Raw genomic sequence first — 23,861 nt, 5'->3', positions numbered from 1 at the left:
CAATTCTCTCCTTGGGGAAGATTTAGTTTTATTTTAAAATCCTGGCTATCTACATGGAAGGGTAGGGTTTATGACGGCAATACACAATAGAAGATGCCTTTGGCAAGACCGCTGCTCTCCTTAGAGAGAATATCTTGCCAATGGCTTTGCTTCATATCTGCGTGGGGCACCCTCTCCTTTCCTTCCCCAAGGCTGGGGACTTTTCTTTTTCATCTCAAGATGACCCCTCTGAGCTGACAGCAGGAGCCAAAGACAAAGAATTTTCTTGCCTTCTCGTTATCTGCCTCCAACCCGCCCCGAGCACTCGTTCCCTCTTCTCTTGGCAGCTATTTTTGCTCAGTTTCTCTCTGGTTTCTTTTACTTTGATTTATAGTGTTGAATTTAAGAAATCTGGTGAGGCTAAGGACTATTTGACCCAAGTCCAGGGACCCATAGACTGTGGGAAACTCTTAGCTACATGAAAAAATGCAGTCGCTAAACACAACTTGTTGCCCTAAGCACTCAGCCACTGCTTACTTGAGCGAGCTTGTCAATCGCAACCTTCCAGAAGCATAGTCTCCAGGCTCTCAGCTGCAGCTGCCAGGCCACAGGGGGCACTGTGGGTACCGCCTGGATGCATGCTGAGTGATGCAGAGGCCTCCACTCACTCGTTCAGGGGCTGATGACGTGGGTTCTCTTTTCCCTGTTGTCGTGTGACAGGGCCATTTGACCATCTCACTAATTCCCAACACGGAGTTATCCAACCAGTCTTCATATTTACCAGTTTCTGGAATACCCAAGTGCCTTAGGACATAGGAGGTGCCCTGTGAAGGTTGATGTCATTAAAAAATTTGAAACAACCTATCTGATCAGAGTTTATGGTCAAAAATCAGATGTTTGGGGGAGAACAGGAACCTGGCTAAGTTACTGAAATAATGAACTAAAATTGACCTTACTTGGAAAAATCCAAGACTTTCACCATCTGCTAGGTGAGTTAACAAGCAAAGCAAAGCTGTCTTATTTGTTGACTCCGATTTCCTATCTGCCCCTCTACTGCTTTCTATATTATTAACCTTTACATTGCGTGGTGCTGATAACTCTGACAGAAATTCTGTAACTGAAACTCACTTTGATGCTTCCCATTCAACTGCCTTCCATCTCCATGGTGTATAAAGAAAGAAAACTGAAAAGAGAATAGAAAAAGAAGGCTGGGTGTGGTGGCTCACACCTGTAATCCCAGAAGTTTGGGAGGCTGAGGTGGGCAGACTGCCTGAGCTTAGGAGTTCAAGACCAGACTGGGCAATATGGCAAAATCCCATCTCCACAAAAAAAAAAAAATACAAAAATCAGCCAGGTGTGGTGGTGCATGCCTATAGTTCCAGCTACTTGAGGGCCTAAGGCAGGAGAACTGCTTGAGCCTGGGAGGGCTGCAGTGAAAGGTGCTAGGGGCGGGCACCTTGTTTGGTGCTGATGATTGCCTGGTATTCAGTGGAGGGGTAAATCTGAGAACATGCAGTATCAATGAATCGAACTTATCATTTATAATTATTCCAATATGCTTACTAGAGATTATTTGAAATACAGACCCTCAAATAACAACAGAGCCCTGAATCATTTGTTAAAGTTATTTTTTAATCCACAAAACAACTGAAGAAGTGGTTAGAGAGTTAACTAGGGAACCATAACTCTTGCATAACGAGGGGAAACTCTCTTCTCACGCTGCCTATGTTCTTCCCTGCATCCCGGAGAGCCTCACTCTTCTAGGCTGACATATGGGAAGAGGAGTACGGACACAGAAGATGATTATGCTGGAAAAAGAATTTGTCTAAGTCCCCAGACTTGAGTTTTGTTTTGGACTCTGCCACAATCTGGGTGTGAGATTTGCAGAGGCCATTTCCCTCCTGAAGTCAGTGTGCTCGTACGTGAACTACAGGACATGGGCTGGCTCCTGGCTCAGCTCCTCCCAGCTCTGCCCAGGGAGGGGAAGTGGGCAGTGCCAAGCAGCCGGTACACAGCTCCTGCCTTGCCTCTTCAGGCCTCAACTCTGTGGCTTGCTGGAATTATCTATGGGACTGGGTGGTTCTGTCTGGGTGAAGCAATTCTCTCCCTGCTGGGAGAGTCTACCACTCACCGCCCAAGGATGAACAAAGCTCTGCAAATTGACCCAAAGCTCATTCACTGGTCACATGAGAATCCATTTGGAACTGGAATCCATAGTATGCTTGTGATTTCTGCTTCGTGTCCAAAAGTTATCCAGTGACGTACAACTTCCGATGTTGGCTGTCACCATGGTGACGCACAGATGAACTGGGGTACCATGCCCATAAAAGGCTGAGCTAGCCAAGTGCTGGGGTGTGGCGAGTCTGCAGCCAGGCATTTCCAGGGCTGTTACAGTAGCACCACAGGGAAGAGAGACGGGAGCCACCCCAGGGGAAGCTGTGGGAAAGAACAAACTATGCACACAGCCCTTTCGACAGCAAGCTCTGTCCAGCTGCTATTTTTATGTATTATCTTACTTTAAAAAAATACTATCAGTCCAAAAGTAGGGCAGACAGAGCAATGCTTCTGCAAGAGCACATTTGGGAAAATCTGTTAATTAATAAATAGTTAAGCCACATGCACCGGATTTGTAGTATTGAAACAGATGCTCTATCTTAAAAATGTTTTAATACAGTAGATGCAGCAGTCCTGAGAGTAATTGTCTCCTGTAACACACAGAAGAATATCTCCAGGAATAAGAAAATGGTAAATGGCATCACTGATCTCTTTCTTACCTTTTATCATCAGCTATTTCTATCACTTTATCAGTGAATGTTCAGGGTCTCACCTGAATTAACAGAGCAGCCCTGTGTGCTGATTGTTAACACACTCCAGTGACTGGCTGTGTGGTCCCTTGGCAGCACGGGCCTCGGCCCAGGTGAAATGACAGTGTCAAGCATCACGCAGCACCCAGAGGTACAGGTACAGCCAGATTTCAGGCCACATGAGTGCTGCGCGTGCACAGTGGATCCCACAGTCCAGGCCCCGGGGTGGGGGGCGGGTATCGTTTGCCTCTGTCTTTTGTACAACCCTTCAGACAGCTGCCAATCACAGCTTAATTGGATCAGTGTTGATAACCCGTCTGGATAACTAGAGGACAGCCAAGCCCACACGGAGTTTTGGATTACTCAAGTTAATCAGATTAACCAGAAGGTGTCGATTTTTCATTTTACTTGGCAAAGTATAGAAAGAGACTCAAGGTGTTTCCTTCACTAGGGACGCTGGGAAATAAAAAGGTCTCAATGCCTGTGCTGTGAATTCGTGAAATCACAGAGTCTTGGGGATCCTTAGAAATCCCCTCCTAATAACCTCACTGAAAAGACCTCTGGCATCGTGTAACAGTACACTGCTATGCAGATGCCATTATATACTGAAATAATCTGAACTAGCTATGTTTACTGAAGAATCAAATTCTCCTAAAGGCATTATGGAAAATGTTACTATGTTGATTCTGCATTAAATAATCATAGAAAGTGAAAAGAACAGATCCGGTCACCTCTACTCAGTTTGTTTGGGTTCTGTTTATCTGATGACATGGAGAAGAATGCAGAGTCGCTCTAGACACGAACTCCGTCCCACACAGCTAGTCTCACAGATATGTGTATACCACCAATTCTATCCATGCCCATATAAGGCTGAGCCAGTCAAGGGCTGCGGGGTGGAGAGTCTGCAGTCAGGCATTCTCATCACTGCCACAGAAGTGTCGTTGGGAAAATCCATAGCATGAGACCCAGGGGAATTTTACATCTTGTGAAATGGCTTCCATAAACTTAAAAATTATTTAGCCTTGTTAAGTGCTGATAAATGATCTTCAACCAGCAATTTCTAAACCATAAAGTCCCCACAGCAGGCAGAGGAATGCTTAACCGAAACAAAAATAACTGTTTTGAGAAGTGCAACTAATGATGAATGCAGCAGGTGGAGAGATGGGAGCTTTGATCAAAGGGGCAGGAAGCCTCCTCAGTTGTGATTTTTGACAGTGAAATAATGATCAGTCACAGGTCAGGAAATAGGAAGACAGTATTTATAAAGAGGTTCCCTATCACGAACTGTGCCCATTTGATTTTGTGGAGGGGACACAGGAGAGGAGGCAGCGGCATCGCACCTCAGCCCTGGAGGCCAAGCTCCAGCAGAGGGTCGTTCTTCCTGGCAGGTAGGGATGGGAAATGGCTACGGTAGAAACTGACTTCAGGATTCAACTTGGGGAAACTCATTTGGACACCCAAGGGCTGTTATAATTTCTGATTCCAACAACATCAGGGCAATTCAGGGAAGAGTTTCCAGTTGCCTTGACAACCTGGCATTTGCCAAACGAAGGTGTAGACAAGCATGTGTCCTAGGGTAGATACATGAGTCCAGGGAATAAAGGCAAGGAGGCTGTGTCATAAAACAAAATACTACTCCCCACACCTTCACACATGCAAGATGGACTTAAAGGTGCACATATAAATAATACTTTTAAACCAAGTAACACCAAGACTCAGTTTTAAAGATATCAGTTTTAAAGGCAACAGAATCAGAGATCAATCACTTTGATTGAACATATTAAATCCAATATCAGGGCAATATTTCAAATTCTGCCAGATGTAATGGTGATGATTTGGGGTACCCTTTTTTCCTCTTACTTATCTATCAGACGGACCACATCAAAGACATTCAGGGAGTAAATATTTTCAAAGTGAGAATTGTTAGCAATGATACAACTGCCAGTGCTCCCTAGTTTGTATAACTATATTGCAGTATAAATGCAACTACTTTTTTCTTTACAGAATATTTTTATGACATTTCTGCTTATTATAACTATAAAACATCATTGCTTTATATATGCACATATATACACACATGCAAACACACGTACGTACTTATAATGAACAATGAATGAAAGAAAAGATGCTTATGAAAATTAAAATTGCTCTCAATTTTGTAGGAAAGTGGTATACATTGACCCAATTTTGCATTATATTATTGTTTGTTCTAGTGGAACAGAATACAATTGATTAAATTTCTTAGCAAAGTATGCAATGACTTACTCAGAAAATTTAAGACACTCTCATTTCAAATGGAAGTACAATCAGGCACCGCATCATGACTTTTTGGTCAACAACAGACTGCACTGAAGATAGTGGTGCCCTAAGATGACACCGGATCTGCCCAGCGCATAACCCACATGTTTGTGGTGGTGCTGGTGGGGACAAACCTGCTGTGTTGCTGGTTGCATCAAAGTGTGGACATGCAGTTACATGCAGTGTATGACACTTGGTGACAAGCAACTGCGTCACTGTTTTCTGCATTTACTATACTCTACTTTTTATTGTTATTTTGGAGTGTACTCCTATTTATATGTGTACATATGTTAACTGTAAAATAGCCTCAGGCAGGTGCTTCAGGAAGAATCCAGAAGCAGGCATTGTTCCCAGAGGGGATGACGGCTCCATGCGTGTTATTGCCCCGAAGACCTTCTGGTGGGACAAGATGTGGAGGTGAAAGACAGTGATATTGATTATCCTGAGCCCGTGTAGGCCCAGGCTCCCATGTCTGTTTGTTTCTTTGTTTTTAACAAAAAAGTTTAAAAAGTAAAAAAAAATTTTTTTAATAGAAAAAAACATCGAATAAAAACGTAGAAAAAGAAAATATGTTTGTACAGCTGTACAATGTGTGTTTTAAGCTAAGTGTTATTGCAAAAACAGTCAAAAAGTTTAAAAAGTTTAACAGTTTATAAAGTAAAAAAGTTATAGTAAACTAAGGTTAATTTATTACTGAAGAAAGAAAAATATTGAAAACGTAAGTTTAGGGCCGCCTAAGACCCAGTGTTGATGGATCTACAGTGGTGCGCGGTCACGCCCCAGGCCTTCACATCCACGCACCCCGCACTCCCCAACGCAGACAGAGCAACTTCCAAGTCCCGCAAGCTCCGTTCATGGTAAATGCCCTACACAGGAGTCCCATTTTACATCTTTTTACTTTCTTTTTACTGTACCTTTTCTGTATTTAGATATACAAATAGTACTGTGTCGCAACTGCCTACGTACAGGTTTGTAGCCTAGTAGCAACAGGCTTTATCACACAGCCGGGTGTGTAGTAGGCCCGGCCATCTAGGTTTGTGTGAGTACTCTCCAGTATGTTCAAGCAATGATGAAACTGCCCAGCCACACGTGTCCCAGAAGGTACCCCGTTGTTAAGCGAGGCATGACTGTATGAGGAAGATAATATTATTTATTGCAATGCTGTGACTTACACGTCCACCTTTCTCAGGGTAGCACTGGCAGCCCCCACTGCAATCTCTTCCTCCACACGGCACATCAAACTTCTTCACACCCTGCAACAATAAAACACAAGGCAAAGAAAAGTTACCTAAACATTGCCAACTACAACATGTATTAAAATATCATCTGTTGAGAATCCTTCCAACTCTAGAAACGATTCATTCAAAACATTCAATAAGGCTTTTTTAAAAAAATAGACTAATTTTTAGAGCAGTTTTTGGTGCACAGCAAAATCGAGTGTAAGGTCCAGAGATTTCCAATATACCCCTGTCTCTCCCACCCCTGAAATCCCCCACCATCGACATCCTGCACCAGGATGTACAGGTTGGAACCAACCTGTATGCTGGTTACAATCGCTGAGTCTGCCCGCATCACCATCACCAGAGTCCACAGTTGAGACCAGGGTTCACCCTTGGTGCTGTATGTTCTATGGTCAAGGAGTCTTTAAATAGTTCTCACTAGGCTGGGCGCGGTCGCTCACGCCTGGAATCCCAGCACTTTGGGAGGCCGAGGCGGGTGGATCACAAGGTCAGGAGATCAAGACCATCCTGGCCAACATGGTGAAACCCCGTCTCTACTAAAAATACAAAAATTAGCCAGGCGTGGTGGCAGGCACCGGTATTCCCAGCTACTTAGGAGGCTGAGGCAGGAAAATCGCTTGAACCGGGAGGTGGAGGTTGCAGTGAGCTGAGATCACACCACTGCACTCCAGCCTGGGCCACAGAGTAAGACTGTCTCAAAAAAAAAAAAAAAAGTGCCTATAAACTGCCCGATGCCAAGCAAAGTCCTGGACCTTCAGCGTCAGGAGAACATTCCGAGAATCTGGATTCCATGTGAAGTGAGGAATCAGGAAGGAGCAGGCCTGTGGCATGCATGAGAAACTCCGGGGCATGGGCAGCAGCCCTGCCTTCTGCCTGGACATGTGGAGCATGTGCCTGGAGAAAATGCTGGCGGGGAACCCAGAGAGGTGGGCAGGAGTGGGCCACCACGGAGGGGAGGAGGAGGTGTCGGTGCAAACGGTGGCTCCCTCATGGGACACCCATCATGGTGATCAAAGGGAGGGCCATGTGAGGAGGAGGGACTGGCAGGTGCATCTGGCGGGATGCCAAACCCTCATCTGCACCACCGATATCACTTGCGACTTCATTTGAGGGGTGTCGGCAGAGGAAGTCCACTTTCTTTCCCCTTCGCCCTACGGGACACACTTATGCTCAGTAAGGAGGAGGAATGCCGGGAAGAGGCTTTCCTCAGGACCTATTCAGGCAAGTGGGTGACCCCATTGAGTGTTTCATCAGAGAAGGAGATACAACCTTAAGTGAGTCAGTGGGAAATGGAGGGAGTTCCCTGGATGGGCAATCCCGATGGGGCAAAAAGGTGTTTCTCATCCTTGATCTCAACATTCAGATCAAAGATGGACTTGGAGATTGGGCTACTGGACAAGTACCTTAGCTCTTCCTTTCAAATCGTGACAGTATTAAACGTTTTGAGATGATGGCAATCAGAGTGACCCTCTTTTCTCCCCTTTCTGATCAGCCGAGTCTCAGCGCAGGCCTCCTCTCCCCTGACAGGTAAGCTAGTACAACCTTCATTCCACAGGTGAGCCAGTGCTGCCCTCCGCCCTATACAGGTGACCTAGTGCAGCCCTCAGCCCCCACACAGGTGAGCTAGTACAGCCCTCCCCCCCACACACAGGTGAGCTAGTGCAGCCCTCCCCACTCACACAGGTGAGCTGTACAGCCCTCCACCCCCACACACAGGTGAGCTAGTGCAGCCCTCCCCCACACACACAGGTGAGCTAGTGCAGCCCTCCCCACTCACACAGGTGAGCTGTACAGCCCTCCACCCCCACACACAGGTGAGCTACTGCAGCCCTCCCCCACACACACAGGTGAGCTAGTGCAGCCCTCCCCCACACACACAGGTGAGCTGGTACTGCCCTCCCCCCACACAGGTGAGCTAGTACAGCCCTCCCCCACACACACAGGTGAGCTAGTGCAGCCCTCCCCCACACACACAGGTGAGCTAGTGCAGCCCTCCCCCACACACACAGGTGAGCTAGTGCAGCCCTCCCCCACACACACAGGTGAGCTAGTACAGCCCTCCCCCACACACACAGGTGAGCTAGTGCAGCCCTCCCCCCACACAGGTGAGCTAGTGCAGCCCTCCCCCACACACACAGGTGAGCTAGTGCAGCCCTCTCCCACACACAGTTGAGCTACTGCAGCCCTCCCCACACAAACAGGTGAGCAGTGGCTCACAGGTGAATCTTAATCTAGCTTTTCACCCTCAGCCAGCCTCTGCCAGCCTGCCTGGAGCCTCCCTATTATCACACAGTTACACCTAAGGGACCCTGGACAAGGCTGGCTTCTGGTGTTCACTGATTGAAACCTTATCATGCAAGTAAAACTTACCAGATGACAGAACCCTTTCCAATGTTAAGCAAATTGTATTTTACCACAGCCTTTTCACTCTCTTCTGAGTTACGTGTCAATGACTAAACAGGACTATCACTTGGGGACTCCCTCTGTAAGTTGTTTTGTGATAGCGGGTCTGCTGGAACCTTCCCCTTTCCTGTCACCAGCTGCATGTCCACGTGGAGGTGCAAGTGGCATGGCCAGGCCCACTCTGCCACTGCCGCCCAGCAGGGTCTTCCAGATAGTCCAGGGCAGAAGGGCAGGACACGCAGGCTTCTGACCCAAAACCTCCTGGCAAGAGTTGGCCTTGGGTTCCAGCAATGACTCCATGTTCCTTTTGTATGGGTGATTTTTTTTTTCTTTCAGCTAACAATTTTCTACTAGAGAACTCTCATCTGAGAGTTTCACGTTTTTTATGTTCTTCTTATAATTCTTTACCTAATATAGTATCTGATGCATCAGTTACTACTATAAAAAAAAAAAACTCCAAAAAGTGGAAAGTCCCAAACCCTTCAGAGAAAACAGTACCTTGAAAGCTTTTACATTTCTTTCCAGTGATCTTTTTGTCTTGAGTGAGGTAATGAGGCAGCTGGAGTTTATGGTGTAAAAGTAAACATATATAAAATCCTCTCACGCCCTGAAAACACGATCCTAGGTATTTGCCAATTTTTCAATGGCTCCAATGTTTATCTGCAATGGGGCTCATAAATCCCATGATTTGAATATGTGATTTCTAGAAATCCAACTCCATACTAAGCCAGAAAGTTTAGCACCAAAGCTCAAGACTAGATGGGCTGGCGCATTCATGCCTTTTACTACACGTGAGGGAGGCATGAACAGGCGCTTGGCAGAGGTCCTCAGTTGACCCAATAATTCATTGGCCAGTTGTCTGGGAAGGGCAGGCGGGCCTCCTGGGTCTATAGGGTAAAGCATCAACTCATATCCTCCATCTGCTGTTTCCCAAGCTATTTTTAATTTTGATTTTAAAGCCACTTGCCAAATCCCTCCATATAAATCAAAGGTTGAAATGATTTGAATGGTTTCAAATTGATCTAACAGACTCCTTATTCTAGGTTTACGATATTCACTGTATTTAGTTGTAGTGAGTTATTCATAACCCACTCAAAAATGAATGATGCATTCTTACTTTTGGAACTAGGACTTGTAGGCTGATTAAGATACCTCCCAGTAACACTTTTCTACATGTACCGATGGCTCCAGTGCTATATTGTGAGGGAAGGAATACCTCATTGAGAGGCAGCCCTGCTCATTCCACGCCAAGGCAGTTTCCATGGACATGCCAGCCGTGCGTGCACACACGCACGTGCATGTGTGTATGTGTGTTCCCACTGACATCTTACCTGTCCTCCAGAGAGAGTCTTAGGAATTCCAACATTTACAAGAGCCCGAAGTACCACACTTTGGAATGTGAGGTCTCCAGGAGGAACAGAAATATTGACTTATTAGGGCAGGGTGTGTGCTTCAGACAGTCTCTTAAAAACTCAACAAGTCTCTGACCTGAGCCTTGGCATCTCCTGAGAAGACATGGGTCTCTGAAACAGTCTCGAGACACAAATGCCTCCCTGAGGACCTCAGAGGAGGAGTGTGAGGACTGCTATGTGGTGTCCCATGTCTGTGGCCTGGCCACTCCCTCCAGCAGAGGCATACCGACTGCACGCACCTGCTGCCACCCTGCTCTCAGCCCTCCAGCCTATCCCTTCATTTTACTGCTTAACGCAAATCAAAGACAAGCCGCGATCCTATTCTTGTCAACTCCTTAATAAAAATGATGAGTTTCCTCCCACCCTGCAGCCTCCTCAAATCTCTGCTCACCCCCTTCATGAAGAAACACTGGCCCTGGTCCATATTTTAACTTCAGTCTCCGTGAGGCCTGTTTTTCCCTATAAGGTCTGGTTTGCCTCAGTGTTCTTTAAAGAATCCTGCATGGGTCTCACCAAGCATTTGACACACCTCTTTTTACAACAATCACAGGCTCATGAAAGAAACATCAATTCAATCCTCCATTAATTTCTCATTTCAAGTCTGAATTTCCAAGGCAGCAACTGTGTAGGGCAATTCCAATGCCCAGCTCTCACTGACGCCCCCTGCAGGTGTGCCTGGCTGCTGACCCCACTGAAGCTCGCAGGGCCAGGAGGTTCCTGCAGCTCCTACTGCAGGTGTGGAACGTGATCCAGGCTCGTGGGGCGTGCTGTAGCCGTTCAGCCCGGCTGGCCAAACTCCTGTGGTTGTCTGGGTGTCCTTCACCCCAAGGCAGGAAAGGACTCAAGGCCTGGCGGGACCAGTTTTACAGAAGGCCTGTGAAAGCTGGTGGGGGCACCCTACTCCCTGGAGAATGCCTGACTCTCACCTCCTCATAGGCACACAGAACCTCCCCACCCAGGGAACTCGGGACCACCGAGGAATCTGAACCGTATCCGGCACCTTCCTTCAACTGCACCAGTGAGAGGACACCTCACATCCCCAATTCCAAACTAACATGACAAAGGGCAAGGGGCTGGGAGGTCCTTCATCCACGCTTTCACTTTACAAATTCATTCACTCATGATCACTGATGTGAATTTCCTCTGAGCCATGCACTGTGCTGGGCTCTGGGTATAGAGTAGGGGGCAGATTAGACATTGCTCCTGCCCTGTGGCAGGTGACCAAGTAGACAAGAAGGTGAAATAAGTAAACAAACAACTAAACCCACATAATTTAAATTCTGGTAAGAGCTGCGAAGAAGAGGATGGTTAGAGAGCAAATTAGGAACAGTGGGTCCTTAAGTATTGCATTATCCTGTTCACAGAGAGGACTGGCTGTGTTCAGGCCTGCGCCCTAGGGCTCTGCTATGCTCCACTATTCCTTCTATGCCTACCTCCCAAGGCCAACCTCCCTGCCTGACAGCCTGAGGCTCTCACTGCTAGAAAGCAGAGACAGACTGGCTACCCCTAACCTCCAGGCCTAGGAGGGCACCACCTTCATGCCATCATCATCGTCATCATCATCATCATCATGATCATTATCAGGGAATCAGGAACATCCTGAGTTGGAGTGACTCGAAGCCCATTCTTCCTATGACTTTCAGGATGCTCCAACACTGCTGTGCTCCCCAACTTGCAGCTCAGGACTCCATTTCAATCTAGTGCCGCTTTTCAGTACCCACAGTTGAACATCCTTAGTCCCTACTCAGCTGACAGCCAGCTCAGTGGCTTCCCAGGCGCATTGGCCAGGAAACTTCAGACCTAAATTCCAAATCATGGAAGGAGTTTGCCTAGGGGGATGAATCATTACTTCCCTCAGCAAATGAATGAACATTTACTGAGGACCTGCAGGCAGTCCTACCTTGCCAACTATCTCATCACACACCAACCTGGAGGCCAGACCCCATTGGACTTATCTGCTCCTTCAAGAAAGGCAGAGGAATTAAAGAAGCTGGCAGAGGCACTGTGGACAAAGGGAAGGGGTGCTAAGTCTGATTATTGTAAGCTCTTGACATCTTTAGTGTTGTGGAACCAAAAGGAATAGTTCTGAAAAATAAATGTGAATTATACATTTTAGGAAATAAGTGTCCAAAGCAGCATAAACCTAAGAAGCAAGGTAGACTTGAAAGTCTCTGAGCTGCAAGGAAGAGATGAAGGACCGGTCATTCTTGCACCAGTTCTTAGGGACAAAACCCACGCCGGCAAGGGAGGAGCAGGGTAGAGAAAGCCACAGGCAGCAAAGAAGCAGGAGAGAAGGCTGGGTGCGGGGGCTCATGCCTGTAATCCCAGCACTTTGGGAGACCCAGGCAGGCAGATCGCTTGAGCTCAGGGGTTCAAGACCAGCCTGGGTAACAAAGCAAAACCCTGTCTGTACAAAACAAACGAACAAACAAACAAACAAACAAACAAAAAGAATAGCTGGGTGTGGTGGTGCACGCCTGTGGTCCCAGCTGCTTGGAGGGCTGGGGTGGGAAGATGGCTTGAGCCCGGGAGGTGGAGGTTGCAGTGAGCCGAGATTACGCCACTGTACTCCAGCCTGGGCAACAGAGCAAGACCCTATCTCAAAAAGAAAAAATAAAAATAAAGAAAGAAAGAAACAAGAGAGAGAGCAGGTAGCAAAGAAGACACTGGACAGAGAGTTTGAGGAAGATTTACCTGGAAGTTGTACCACAAATAAAATGGGAGGGAATAAGAGGGAAACAGAGAGGAAAACTGATCAGAGGCAGGGACTTAGACACAAAGTCAAAGAGGTCATGAGTGCTTGTCTGAAGGGCAGCTGCTCTCCCAGCTGGCCCCCGCCATGGCAAGTGTGCTGTGTGGACAGGGCCCATCAGCATCACCCTGGAGCTAGTGAGGAATGCAGGCCCCACCCCACCTTTCTTGGAGCAGAACCTGCTTTCTAGCATGACTTCCAGGTTAGCACACCGAGGTTTGCAAAGCCCTACACTAGGTGGTCGGATGGGCATTGTGAAAACAGGCTTTGTTTAGAGATAGTGAGAAAGCTGGAAACCACTGAACCATCACCCTGGGTGCAACAGAAGGTAGGAGTTATTACAGGTTCAGCATGTTCCATGACTCAGTGGGTGCCTGGCATGTCTGTCCTAGAAAAGTGATGGCCCTTGGACCTTGCTTTGACCTCTGTGACCTGTGCTGCATCTGGGGCGGCTCTGAGCCCTAAGGACTCAGTGGCTGAGCCTCTAATCCCTCCAAGTGCTAAAAAAAATTGTAGTTCTCTCTTTTAATTTTTTTAAAATTCAAAATATCCTTCTAGAGCTCTTCTTTTTCCTGTTCTGAAACTGGTAGCCAGCATTGCTGTGCCAATTCAAAACTGTAGGAATTGGAAATGTTTAGGAGCCAGTTGGCAGTGTATGTAAAGGCATAAGATGTGTTTTCCAGAAACCTTAGATTACATTCTACTCAATTGGAATGCAACAGACATTTTTTCCAGGTGCAGAACGGGAATCTTTGAGTGAGGGATTTCTTGGTTGACTTCATATATGGAAATTCTTTTCCTTGGAGTCTTATTTAAATCTTGGCATCATTACATTTAGAAAGATGTGGAAATTGGGCTGGGTGTGGTGGCTCACGCCTGTAAGCCTAGCACTTTGGGAGGCCTAGGCGGTGGATCACTTGAAGTTAGGAGTTCAAGACCAGCCTGGCCAACATGGTGAAACCCTGTCTCTACTAAGAATGTAAAAATTAGCTGGACATGGTGGCTCACGCTTGTAATACCAACTACTCACGAGGTTGAGACACAAGAATCACTTCAACCCGAGAAGTGGAGGTTTTAGTGAGCCACGACTGTGCTACTGCACTCCAGCCTGGGTGACGGAGTGAGACTGTGTCTCAATAAAAAAAAAAAAGAAGATATGAAAATCCATCTGTTTGCATGGATAGATTTACCATAGACATCAAATCACTCCAGATGCACAATCTAGATTCCTTGGTGAGTCTTTTACCTCTGGAAGAATAAAAGTCATGGAACCCTTTAAGGAAAACCAGGTTCTAGTTTCTTGAACCAGGCTCCTATCAGGATCAAATGCAGAATTTCTTGCTTGGAGTCACTAGCTGCCTGGCTGCCAGCAGAGACTCTGTCATTTATCAATGGGATACAGTGGAGTTGGAGCAGAGATCAAGAGTGGCAGCTGCAGGATTAAGAGGACATCCGGTCCTCCTGGTTGCTGCCCTGGCTCTTCTGTGAGTGACCCAATGACAGTGAGAAGAGAGTATCGTGTTGCCTTCACTAGGATCCTGTGCCACCAGGCAGAGGGAGAGTCCCTCCTTTGCCACCGGGGAAAAGGGTGTCCTCCTTGGTAGATGTCTGAGGAATCGCCCATCTCAAAACGTGGAGAAAACTGCCCAATGTCACTTCTCTCCATGGCAGATTGGTCCTTATATTTAGGACACTAAAAAAATAGGTTTAAATGACAACCTGAATGCCAGGAAACAAAACACATAAACAATTTAAACTCTTTGAGACTACTATTTCTCTACTACCACTGCAAATTGTCAACATATAGCAAGGGAACAAACCATGGAAATGCACCCAGCCCTCTTCAGACATGAGTATCATTTAAAGTGGATGCCATGTAGACGAATGAAAAAAAATGCTGGTCATTGTTCTCAACTTGCACATAGAAAATGAGCAGTAATCGAGTTATATGAATCGCAAGAACAAAACTCATCTGTCCCAAAACAAAGAATATTTTGTCCTCTACATGTTCCAAGAAACTTCTTGTCCAAGGAAGTCTTTTTAAGCCAATTTACCTCCAGCCAACAAGAGCCATCCTCTGAAGGGAATTTACAGATAGCTGACGATTGGATTGTGCCTAGCATCTAACCCAAATTCCCTCCACAGAGGAATACTGAAAAACCTACGCCAAGTGACAAACAAGATCAACATTACCTATTGTTAAAAAGTTATCATCCTTTTGAAAGCTAAAAAGTTATCTTTTCAAGGCAAAAAAAAAAAATCTATACAATTCTTTGTCTTTGACACAAGTCCAGTCAAGCTGGACTTTTAGAATTACTATTTTAATCAAAAAAGAGGCCAAAAGAGAAGAAAGCCAACTCGGGAACAAGGTTCTCAGTAAAGTTCTATTAGTTTATCAAAACAGGAAATATAAGCCATTTCCGCACATGCAGCTTTAGAAATTAAGGAAATAATTCCAACATGGTATTAGCAGGGCAAGGTATATGGAAGAGGAAGTGCAGGTCACAGTTGTACCACCCAGCACAAATCCTTCTTCTATATGCCGGGCAGCAAAGCCAGCCAATTCAGCTTCCTTTGTTTAACAGTACTTCAAGGGCATCCTAAATAAATGTGTTCACTCTACAGAATGGTCTTGAACTAGTCACCAGCTCAAGATGGTGAAATGCCTGAAGGACAGGGGCGCTCCCCCACGTACAATGAATAAGCCCCATGGGCTTTTCTGGAATGCCAGTGAGTGCCAGCAGTTATGACTGCGTCGATGCCTGTCCTCATGGAACTGAGAGACTCAGAGAAGGAGGGAGGAGCTCAGGCTGTGTATTTGGAACAGGAGAACCAGAAAGAAATGACAGTAGTTCAACGAGTTGGGCTAGACACTCTTTAGGAAGACAGACGTCCTTCCTGTCTGGAAGCAATCCTTTACGGTCTCCCAGACGAATACCTGAGGAATGGGATCATTCCCCATCCTGGTTCAACACGGCGGCAAGACATAACCAGGAGGCATGACGTTCGGTGCCCTCCCCTGAGTCATCGGCAACAAGCCCCGTGTTTTCATATCTGCACACCTTTACATTTTAACGAGCAATGACCGGCCAAGTGGGCCACCTTCCATTTCTCCTCAGGCAGCTCAATGTCTGGGTGTTTTCCACACACAGTGTGCTATTGGCAGGGCCACCTCTGACAGCCGTACTTTAGTGCTGGAGCTTGGGTCCTGACGGGCAGGACTGGCTCCAGAAAAAATTCAGGAATTTGACTGCCAGGGCATGCAGTGTGTGGTGGGCCAAAGGCCAGGGCCAGAACACATCCCAGTGACATTAGTCATCCTGAGACATTTAAAGCAGGCTGAATGACAGTGGAGGGATGGCAGGCAGGGCCCCAGGTAGGAACTGCTGAGAACCCAGGATGCTGAAGAGCAGGTGTGAGGGGCCAACTGGGAACATGAATGATGTAGCAAAGGGCAAGAGTTCAGGCAGAGAAGTGACTGGTCCTTTGAAGCCACAGCATCTTCTGCACAAAGGGAGGATGATGGCACCCTTGCACAGGGCTGCTGTGAGGGTTTGGTGATGTAACTCAGCCCCCCGAGCCTTCCCAGCTAAAGGGTCTCCAATGCCTGGCTCCCCGGCCTAGAGCTCCTGACACATGAATGAGAGGTGAAGCCCAGCCAACATAGTCTAAGCCAACGCTGCCTTGGAAATGCCTTGTCCTGGGCTAGAGATGATCTCAGAGCATGGGTGGGCCTGGTTTCAGGTGAGGACAGGTAGGCCATCTGGCTGAGTGAGGAAAGGGGGCTTGGCATTTCCTGACACACATCCTCTGCCCTGGCCACTTCTTCACAGTTCACACTCAGTGCCTTTCTAGAGGCGAAAAGCAGGCTGAGATGCGCCCTCTCACCAGCGAGGAAGGCAGGTGTGCACACGGGCCCGGCATGCGGAGGCGTGGACCCAGGTGTTCGCACTTGGCAGTGAGCCACGATAAGCGCAGGGGATGAGGCTCTGTCCAGAGCCAGTCTTCCCCGTTCTTTCATGGCCTCCCCTTAGTCAACAGAGCACCCTGGCCTTCACCCCGGGAGGAGCTGAGCCCTCATTTGTTGGGTGGTTTTATTAGGTGCTGGGTGGAGACTCACATGTGCCTCATCTTGAGTCATCTGGTCTAGAAGCCTGGAACCTACACAGCAAACACCCAGGGTGTAGACATGGGTGTGGGGCCGTCGTCAGCCGTCAGGCAGGCAGGACAGCGACCAAAGGGGCCGGGTTGAGCTGGGCAGCACAGGTGACAAGCAGCCTTCACAGTGGGCATACAGCAGAGCACTGGAGCCACAGAACAGGGCACTGAAATGCAGGCAATTTCCATCTCGGAGCACTGGAGGGTGCCCCGTCGAAATATGAGTTGCCTGCATTTGAAGGTTTCCTTGCCTGTCTTCGAATGTCTTGGTCACTAGAGTTCTGGGGCCCCTGCTTCTCTCACTCAAAGTTACTTCCTGAAATCTGTTCCATCACTCCTGCCATAGACACTGCTCCTTATATTGTCTATGGTGACCACGGGATCAACGGCTAAGACCGCTGAAGATTTTCATTGCAATTTAGATATATTTATTAACCCATGGCTAAATTCTCCTTTGAATCAGGTCTTACTCACTTGATTTCAAAAGTTAATCTTAAATGACTTTCTGTCTGGGATTCCCAAGGCTTTGAGTTACGCAGGAAACAACGCCCCAAAAGCCTCAAACAAGAAAGAGTTCTCTTTCTTTTCAAGTATTTTGATACTGTTCCTTCAGTACCCCAGGAAAGCTCCTCATTTCCAAATTCACCTCTCACTGGCCTTCATTGCTGGCTCCTGGCCCCCAGGTTGTGAGGGTGATAGAGGCAGCCCAGGATCCTGGCTGGGGTTGCCCAGATACATCAGCAGCGCCCCGGAGCTGGGTGTGGGCAGGATCCCAAAGCCCATCTTCTTGATGTCATCATGAAGTGGACACACAGCTGGCACTATTCTGAGAACTAACACGCACCCCAGCTACCTTGCAGAAGGTGGTCCCCCTGTGCACAGGTACACATGCCCAGGCACAGATGAGATGGAACAAGATGAGAGCCTGGGTGTTGCTATCTGACTCACGTGACTTCTGTCCCACACAGCAGCTGGGGGTGTGTCAGTGGACCAATTGCCAGAAACCACCTTCCCTTGCCCCCTGTCCTTCTCCACCCCTAATATAGATGGCCACCCTTCATGTTTTTGTAAATCACTAATGGCTGTCTAGGTCGGTACTTAGCTAGGTGGGTGCTTCTGGTATTAACCCTTTAGTTGAGAGCCCATATCAGGTTAAAAAGAACGGGTGAGGACGAGATGTGCATCAATGTGAGTCTGACTTTCTTCTTTCCCAGGTGAGTGGCTGGTGTGTTTGAGGAGGCCTCGACTGTACCCATAGGGAAGGTGAGGGTGTGAAGCCAGCATCTGCTGTCCTCTGATTCCTGCACCCCACTGCTTCCCAGGAACAGCAGGCTTCGCTTCTCCTGAGACCCGCCGACTGGGGTTCTGCTCCCCTGCATCCACTGTTCCCTCCACTTTCAAAGTCTCTTTTTCTTTCAACTACAGCGGAATGCTTAATCACTTATTTTACATGCTGAGGGAATGTGAGGATTTTCAATGCATTGAGTATGAACACCTCTGAAGTTCCATCCTCGCAAAGAACTTGCGTTTGTACACACTGTTCCTTCAGCTTGGAATGTCCTCCATACCCTCACCTTCCTTGTCAGTGTAGTCAAGACCAACTCAAACACACCAGCCACTCACCTTGGGAAGAAGAAAGTCAAATCACATTGATTCACATCTAGTCCCCACTCATTCTTTTTAAGAACAGGCTTTTCTGCTGTAACACAGTATATGACTGTTTCTGAAAAATTCTCACACTCTGCAAAACCACACAGCAAACCACCGAGGTCCATGGGAAAAACAGAGCTGGGGCAGACCACTCAATACCGATGCAACTTTGTAACTAGGGCCTTAATAAAATTGGTAGCAATCCTAATACAAATAATAGCACAGTTTAATGGACATGTTAACTTCTCAAGTAAAGAAATATTGCAGTAAATAAAACAGTTTATCTTGAAGAAAAGTGATGGCATAGTTTCATAGAAGGGGGTGTAAGGAAGTGCTGAGACTGCTACACTGCAGAGAGCAAGGACAGGATGACCAAAGATTGGGAAGAGCTGTGGAGAAAGCATTTCTAAGGAGAGTATGTGGCCTGAGCGAGGCAAGAGAGAGAATACTGCGGCCCTGGGGTCTCGTATAGAGTTCCATTCCTTGACAGTTTGCTGTGCTGATGTGTATTCTTCTACTTACCCTCAGCTATCCTGTTACTCAGTGGTACAAACACCATGCTGGGAAAAATGTCACGCATGAACTAACATGACTTCCATCTCATACTGACATCATTCTCTTCTGTTCCAATTACCTATCAGCAAGTATGAGTTAGAGGAGATGTGCTGTAACAAACAGCCTACTTCAATATTCTCTCATTGGCTACTCATTTAAACCTCAATGTTGTCGTCAAATAACTAATAAGAAAATTGGCTGCATAAAAGACCATCTTTTATGAAGGCTATTTGTCATGTCATCCTTTTAATAGCCTGAGGGATTTTGTTCTGTCTCCGTGTTGAGAAGAACAAGTTACAAGGAGCTTTTAACTCTTGTTCAAGAGGCCATCAATGTAATCATAGTTAGAAGTGAGTTTTCAGACTCATAGGTACACATGCAGTGAAGAGTTTCACATGTTACATTTAGAATAAATACCCTTACATATTTATGAGCTATGTTGTTTTTCTTCTGTTTCGTTAGGGAGAGAGTTCACCGAGACATCATCTAATATAAGCATTACCTCACACATTATCTACACTAAATTTTAATTATTTATACGGCATGCCAGTTCTTGGTATTCTTTGGCAATGAATGAAAATGTGTATGTGGTTAGTATTGGCATATAGGTCTAAGGTAAATATTTAGCCCTGTTGGTAATAAACAAAGTGGGTCCATCTCTTGAAGCTATTTATTCCAGAGAAGTACCTTCAGTTTAAGAGTTCTGTTCAAAACCTGCCCTCTGTGCTAAATTTGGGAGAAAAAAATCTGAAAAGCATGGAATGAAAGAGATCCAGGAATCCTTTTTCAGAATACAATAAGATTTCTGTTCTGGTTGGTGAAGACTGGTCTAGGCAAGGAAGGTCCCCGTTTGCATTGGCACACAGCAGCGCTGCGCTGCCCGGGCAGGCTCAGCCTCAGGTGCCTGCAGCTTTATCTTTGCAAACTTGACCATCAAAGTCCCAGGGGCTTTGGGGCCATGGACAACACCACACCCATGCGACAGCCACTTTACCTACCTGCTGGCCTGGCTTCTGGGTTAGAATTTCTGAATTTCTGCCCCGCCCTTTCTCCTGGAGGTACGCTGCCAAGTGAATCACGCCTGGCAGCTTTCAGACGGCGTGTACCTATGCCTTCCCACATCAGCAGGGATCGAGGATGCCTTTGCTGTGAACTCACACTCGGTAGTTTTTTCTCTGCCTGGAAGAAGGTCTGTGCATAAAATCTGCTCTAAGTCACAGCAGACGCCTACTCCTGGGGCCAGCAGAGGAGAGCACCCACTGGGTACGGACAGGCGCAGGCAGCACTCCGTTATTTGGGAGTGGATTATCTACCTGGATATTTCAACAGTGGATTTTCAATCCCACTCCTCTCTGCCCCTCACTAGGTTGTTGGGATTTTAATTCTTGTGTTCGATGGACAATCAGAGACCACACACACAGTCACTGCAGTATGAAGTTGCAAAGATTGCATGTTCCCTGGACTAGGTTAGACCAAGTTTTGGACGCTAACCTCTGTCGATAAGGCTAATTTGGAATTAGCATGCACACATTTTTAGGTTTGAGCACGATTTTTAGAGTCTCCTGAGTGTGAAATTTTAGGAGCCAGCTCTACCCTGCTCTCCTATACCAGTGCATGAAGACAGTTGATTTTTCTAGTCTTTTTACGCTTAATCTGGAGTGTTTGCAAGAAGATGGGTTCTTCCTGGGCTCCAGAGTGCTATGATGCTGTCTTGTGCCTTTGCCCTGCCCTAAGCTTCCAGTCGGGTGTGCGGGTCTCCAGTGCTGCAGATTTGGTTTGCTCTGAATGGCACTGTGTTTGGGAGAAACTTGATTTGCTTTGGACCAAGGGTGCCCGGGCTCCAGGCCATGTTTCGTGGGGGCGGTCTTGTGAGGAATGCTCATCCCACATGCCCTGCAGGGTCCTCATTTAAAAAATGGGTAGAACCTACTGTTCCTGCCTCCTGGGGTTGCCGTTAGGATGAAAGGAGATTAACCCACGGGAAGAGGTGAGGATAGTGCCCGGCTCCCGGCAGGAAGTACCCAGCATCCATGGTCCATGTTCTTAACCTGCATTTTATCATCTTCCCCTAGTGGGGGAAGATGCTGGTGTATTTCCATCTCACGATACAGACCTGGGGAACAGCAGGTGTCAACACTGTTATTGTTCAAGGAGATTGCTCTTTATGGAGACACTTGCATGCTTTAGGATTTTCACTGAGTAAGCATGCATATAATGCTGACTCTATATGGCTTCCAGAATTCACCTTAAAAGGGTCTTACTTGATTTAATGTTAAGTTCTAGGTACCATCAATTTCTCTGAAGTAAGATTTCAAAAGGAAAAAATTTAGTAAGCTAATTCATCTCTAATAAGTCAAATTCTTAGCTTTCTTTATTCTATCTCTCTCTTTCTTTTAAAAAATTCAATGAGTAGCTGGCTTAGGCACAATTTAAATGGCTCATCTATGCCGAATCTTGTACCCGAGGTCAACCAATGAGCCAGGGTCACTTGGGATCCAGGCCAAGATCCCCATTCTCTGTTCGTCACTATGAGCCTAAGATAAAAATTCGTGAGTCCTGTCTAAGCAACAAGGCTTGTAGTCCTCCTATGTATCAAAAGTGCTCTTATCATATTACAAACAACTAACATGCTGAGATTATAAACATCCACAAACGCGGACTTCCTCCAGTATTCTATGTGATGTCATCTGGCCCTTCTTTCATATCCGCTTTTATTATGCTCCTGTCCTTTCAAAACAGACTGTGTGCCACAGTACAACAAAAGCCAGGAAACGTCGGCCCTCTGGCAGCGAGACAGAGCTGGAAACAAGGAGAAACTGATAAAGCAGAAACACCTCCAGATGGAGAAGTAAAGAATCAATCCTGACACAGCAACTCAGCCTGGCGTCTTTAAAGCCGGTATCCCCTTACGCACACCTAAGGAAGGCTCCTGCTCTGCTCCTCTCAAAGTGGAGTTGTTACTGAGTTGTTTTCATCAGTGCAGGTGGACATTCCCCAGAAAACGTCCTCTAGCAAACACTTCTGAGAGTCTGCTAAGTGCTAAGATCTAAAAGCCAATAGGCAGGCCCCTTGTCCTTGGGAGAAGACAAGCCAGTGGCAGAAATCAACAGCCCTGAACAGTAAATCCTTAACAACACCTAATCAGCCACAAACTATGTACACCCAACCTAAGGCTCGTGAGTGAGTCCCACAGCCACCCTTAGTCACTGCTCCATAGGGGCTGGACGGCCAGCAGCTGGGATTTCTGGCTATGGGTGGGAACATGACAGAAAGCAGGGAACACAGAGCTTTGTGCAGGGCGGTGTTGGTCTGACACTCTACTGGGGAGAAGCCCGTCGTCCCGATGACGCCACGCGCTTGGATGTGTTTTAAAATGGGGTTCTGATGCGAAGGCAGCGCTGGCCACCGACCTGCTCAGTGAACACCGGAAGTGGCGGGCGGGCTTCTTTCCCTTCTCTGTCGTGATTCAGTGCTTCCTGTCACCCCCAGCACACCCCTCCCCACCCCTGGGGAAGCCACTGCCAGGAACCAGCTCCCTGACATACCATAAACAGTCAAACACTGACGACGCTCCCTGCTGCCAGGTCACTGAAATCTTTTCCCTTAATAGACAATACTCCTCCTCCTGTTGGGAGCAATCCACAGACGCCGGAACACGAGTCAGAAAGGAACAGAGTCCTCTGAAGTCCCCAGAATCGCATGGCTGAAAACGCCCCGAGAGTACCCAAGGGTCACACTCACACATGCAGAGCCTGAAGCAAGCGAGAAGCTGGGGTTTGCTCTCGGGGAACTTAACAGCCAAGGACATAGAGTGAGCTCGAGACCCTAAAGACTCTCTGTCCCTGTGCAGTTCTTTGTGCTTCGTAATGTCTTCATGAGCTACAGGACTGCTCTCCTTTCTTCCGCAGCTGCCCCAAAAGACTGGATCTTTCTGCCCCTGGGCTAGGAGAAGTACCCTTCAGAAGATGCTGCCAAAGGAACTCCCCAAGGTGGGGAGGGGATGAACCTTAAACATTTTCTTTCTACACTTCCACTCTTCTCAAGTCTTCTCATCCTCTTCCTTTATCTCTTTTTGTTCTTTTACATCTTTAGAATGAAGTCTTTGGAAAGGTGGATTTGCTGTATTTGTAGTCAGCTTACATGAGGACCATGGCCATATCTGTGGCTAGAGTAAATTGTCCTTGGCTGGGCGCGGTGGCTCACGAGGTCAGGACGTCAACACCAGCCTGGCCAAGATGGTGAAACCGCATCTCTACTAAAAATACAAAAATTAGCCGGGTGTGGTGGCGTGCACCTATAATCTCAGCTACCAGGGAGGCTGAGGCAGGGAACTGCTTGAACCCAGGAGGCGGAGGCTGCAGTGAGCTGAGATCAGGCACTCCAACCTGGGCAACAGAACAAGACTACATCTGAAAAAAAAAATTGTCCTCTTAGACTGGACTCTGCAGGGGCACCAGGTGCCCATTGGGTGAGAGGTTCTCAGGCTCTGTGAACCAGGAGGCCCATTTATTATCCACTCTACCTGTCACCCACCCTCAAGGATTCAAGCCATTCTGGCAATGTCATAAACCGCCAGGATGAACCTTCTTCCTTCCAATCAGTGTAAACA

The 23,861-nt window shown here is 47.1% G+C and overlaps 1 protein-coding gene and 1 non-coding gene across 2 annotated transcripts in view, besides 7 other annotated features; both read right to left on the bottom strand.

Annotated features, from left to right (window-relative positions):
* COL4A2 (collagen type IV alpha 2 chain) overlaps positions 1-23,861 on the bottom strand; it is a 205,926-nt gene that overhangs the window by 149,404 nt on the left and 32,661 nt on the right. The window contains exon 4 of the mRNA NM_001846.4: positions 6,254-6,334. Coding sequence (NP_001837.2) covers positions 6,254-6,334 — 81 coding nt within the window. The remainder of the gene's footprint in view (positions 1-6,253; positions 6,335-23,861) is intronic.
* Positions 2,446-2,946: an enhancer, noted in NCBI's record as "H3K4me1 hESC enhancer chr13:111013207-111013707 (GRCh37/hg19 assembly coordinates)". NCBI's record gives its function as "activates a minimal SCP1, AML or CMV promoter by ChIP-STARR-seq in primed H9 embryonic stem cells {active_cell/tissue: H9 hESC(primed)}" and the evidence as "EXISTENCE:reporter gene assay evidence [ECO:0000049][PMID:30033119]".
* Positions 2,947-3,447: an enhancer, noted in NCBI's record as "H3K4me1 hESC enhancer chr13:111012706-111013206 (GRCh37/hg19 assembly coordinates)". NCBI's record gives its function as "activates a minimal SCP1, AML or CMV promoter by ChIP-STARR-seq in primed H9 embryonic stem cells {active_cell/tissue: H9 hESC(primed)}" and the evidence as "EXISTENCE:reporter gene assay evidence [ECO:0000049][PMID:30033119]".
* Positions 10,386-10,898: an enhancer, noted in NCBI's record as "H3K4me1 hESC enhancer chr13:111005255-111005767 (GRCh37/hg19 assembly coordinates)". NCBI's record gives its function as "activates a minimal SCP1, AML or CMV promoter by ChIP-STARR-seq in naive H9 embryonic stem cells {active_cell/tissue: H9 hESC(naive)}" and the evidence as "EXISTENCE:reporter gene assay evidence [ECO:0000049][PMID:30033119]".
* Positions 15,898-16,756: an enhancer, noted in NCBI's record as "H3K27ac-H3K4me1 hESC enhancer chr13:110999397-111000255 (GRCh37/hg19 assembly coordinates)". NCBI's record gives its function as "activates a minimal SCP1, AML or CMV promoter by ChIP-STARR-seq in naive H9 embryonic stem cells {active_cell/tissue: H9 hESC(naive)}" and the evidence as "EXISTENCE:reporter gene assay evidence [ECO:0000049][PMID:30033119]".
* Positions 19,705-20,653: an enhancer, noted in NCBI's record as "H3K4me1 hESC enhancer chr13:110995500-110996448 (GRCh37/hg19 assembly coordinates)". NCBI's record gives its function as "activates a minimal SCP1, AML or CMV promoter by ChIP-STARR-seq in primed H9 embryonic stem cells {active_cell/tissue: H9 hESC(primed)}" and the evidence as "EXISTENCE:reporter gene assay evidence [ECO:0000049][PMID:30033119]".
* Positions 20,654-21,603: an enhancer, noted in NCBI's record as "NANOG-H3K4me1 hESC enhancer chr13:110994550-110995499 (GRCh37/hg19 assembly coordinates)". NCBI's record gives its function as "activates a minimal SCP1, AML or CMV promoter by ChIP-STARR-seq in primed H9 embryonic stem cells {active_cell/tissue: H9 hESC(primed)}" and the evidence as "EXISTENCE:reporter gene assay evidence [ECO:0000049][PMID:30033119]".
* Positions 22,675-22,744: a silencer, noted in NCBI's record as "silent region_5501". NCBI's record gives its function as "represses an Ori minimal core promoter by ATAC-STARR-seq in GM12878 lymphoblastoid cells {active_cell/tissue: GM12878}" and the evidence as "EXISTENCE:reporter gene assay evidence [ECO:0000049][PMID:35858748]".
* Positions 22,777-22,848, bottom strand: MIR8073 (microRNA 8073). Its single transcript, NR_107040.1, has one exon. It is a non-coding gene; the product is annotated as a microRNA 8073 (primary transcript).

This window comes from Homo sapiens, chromosome 13, assembly GCF_000001405.40.
Source record: "Homo sapiens chromosome 13, GRCh38.p14 Primary Assembly".
Lineage (NCBI taxonomy): Eukaryota > Metazoa > Chordata > Mammalia > Primates > Hominidae > Homo > Homo sapiens.
Note: the sequence above shows the minus strand (reverse complement) of the source record. Positions and strands in the feature narration are given on the sequence as shown.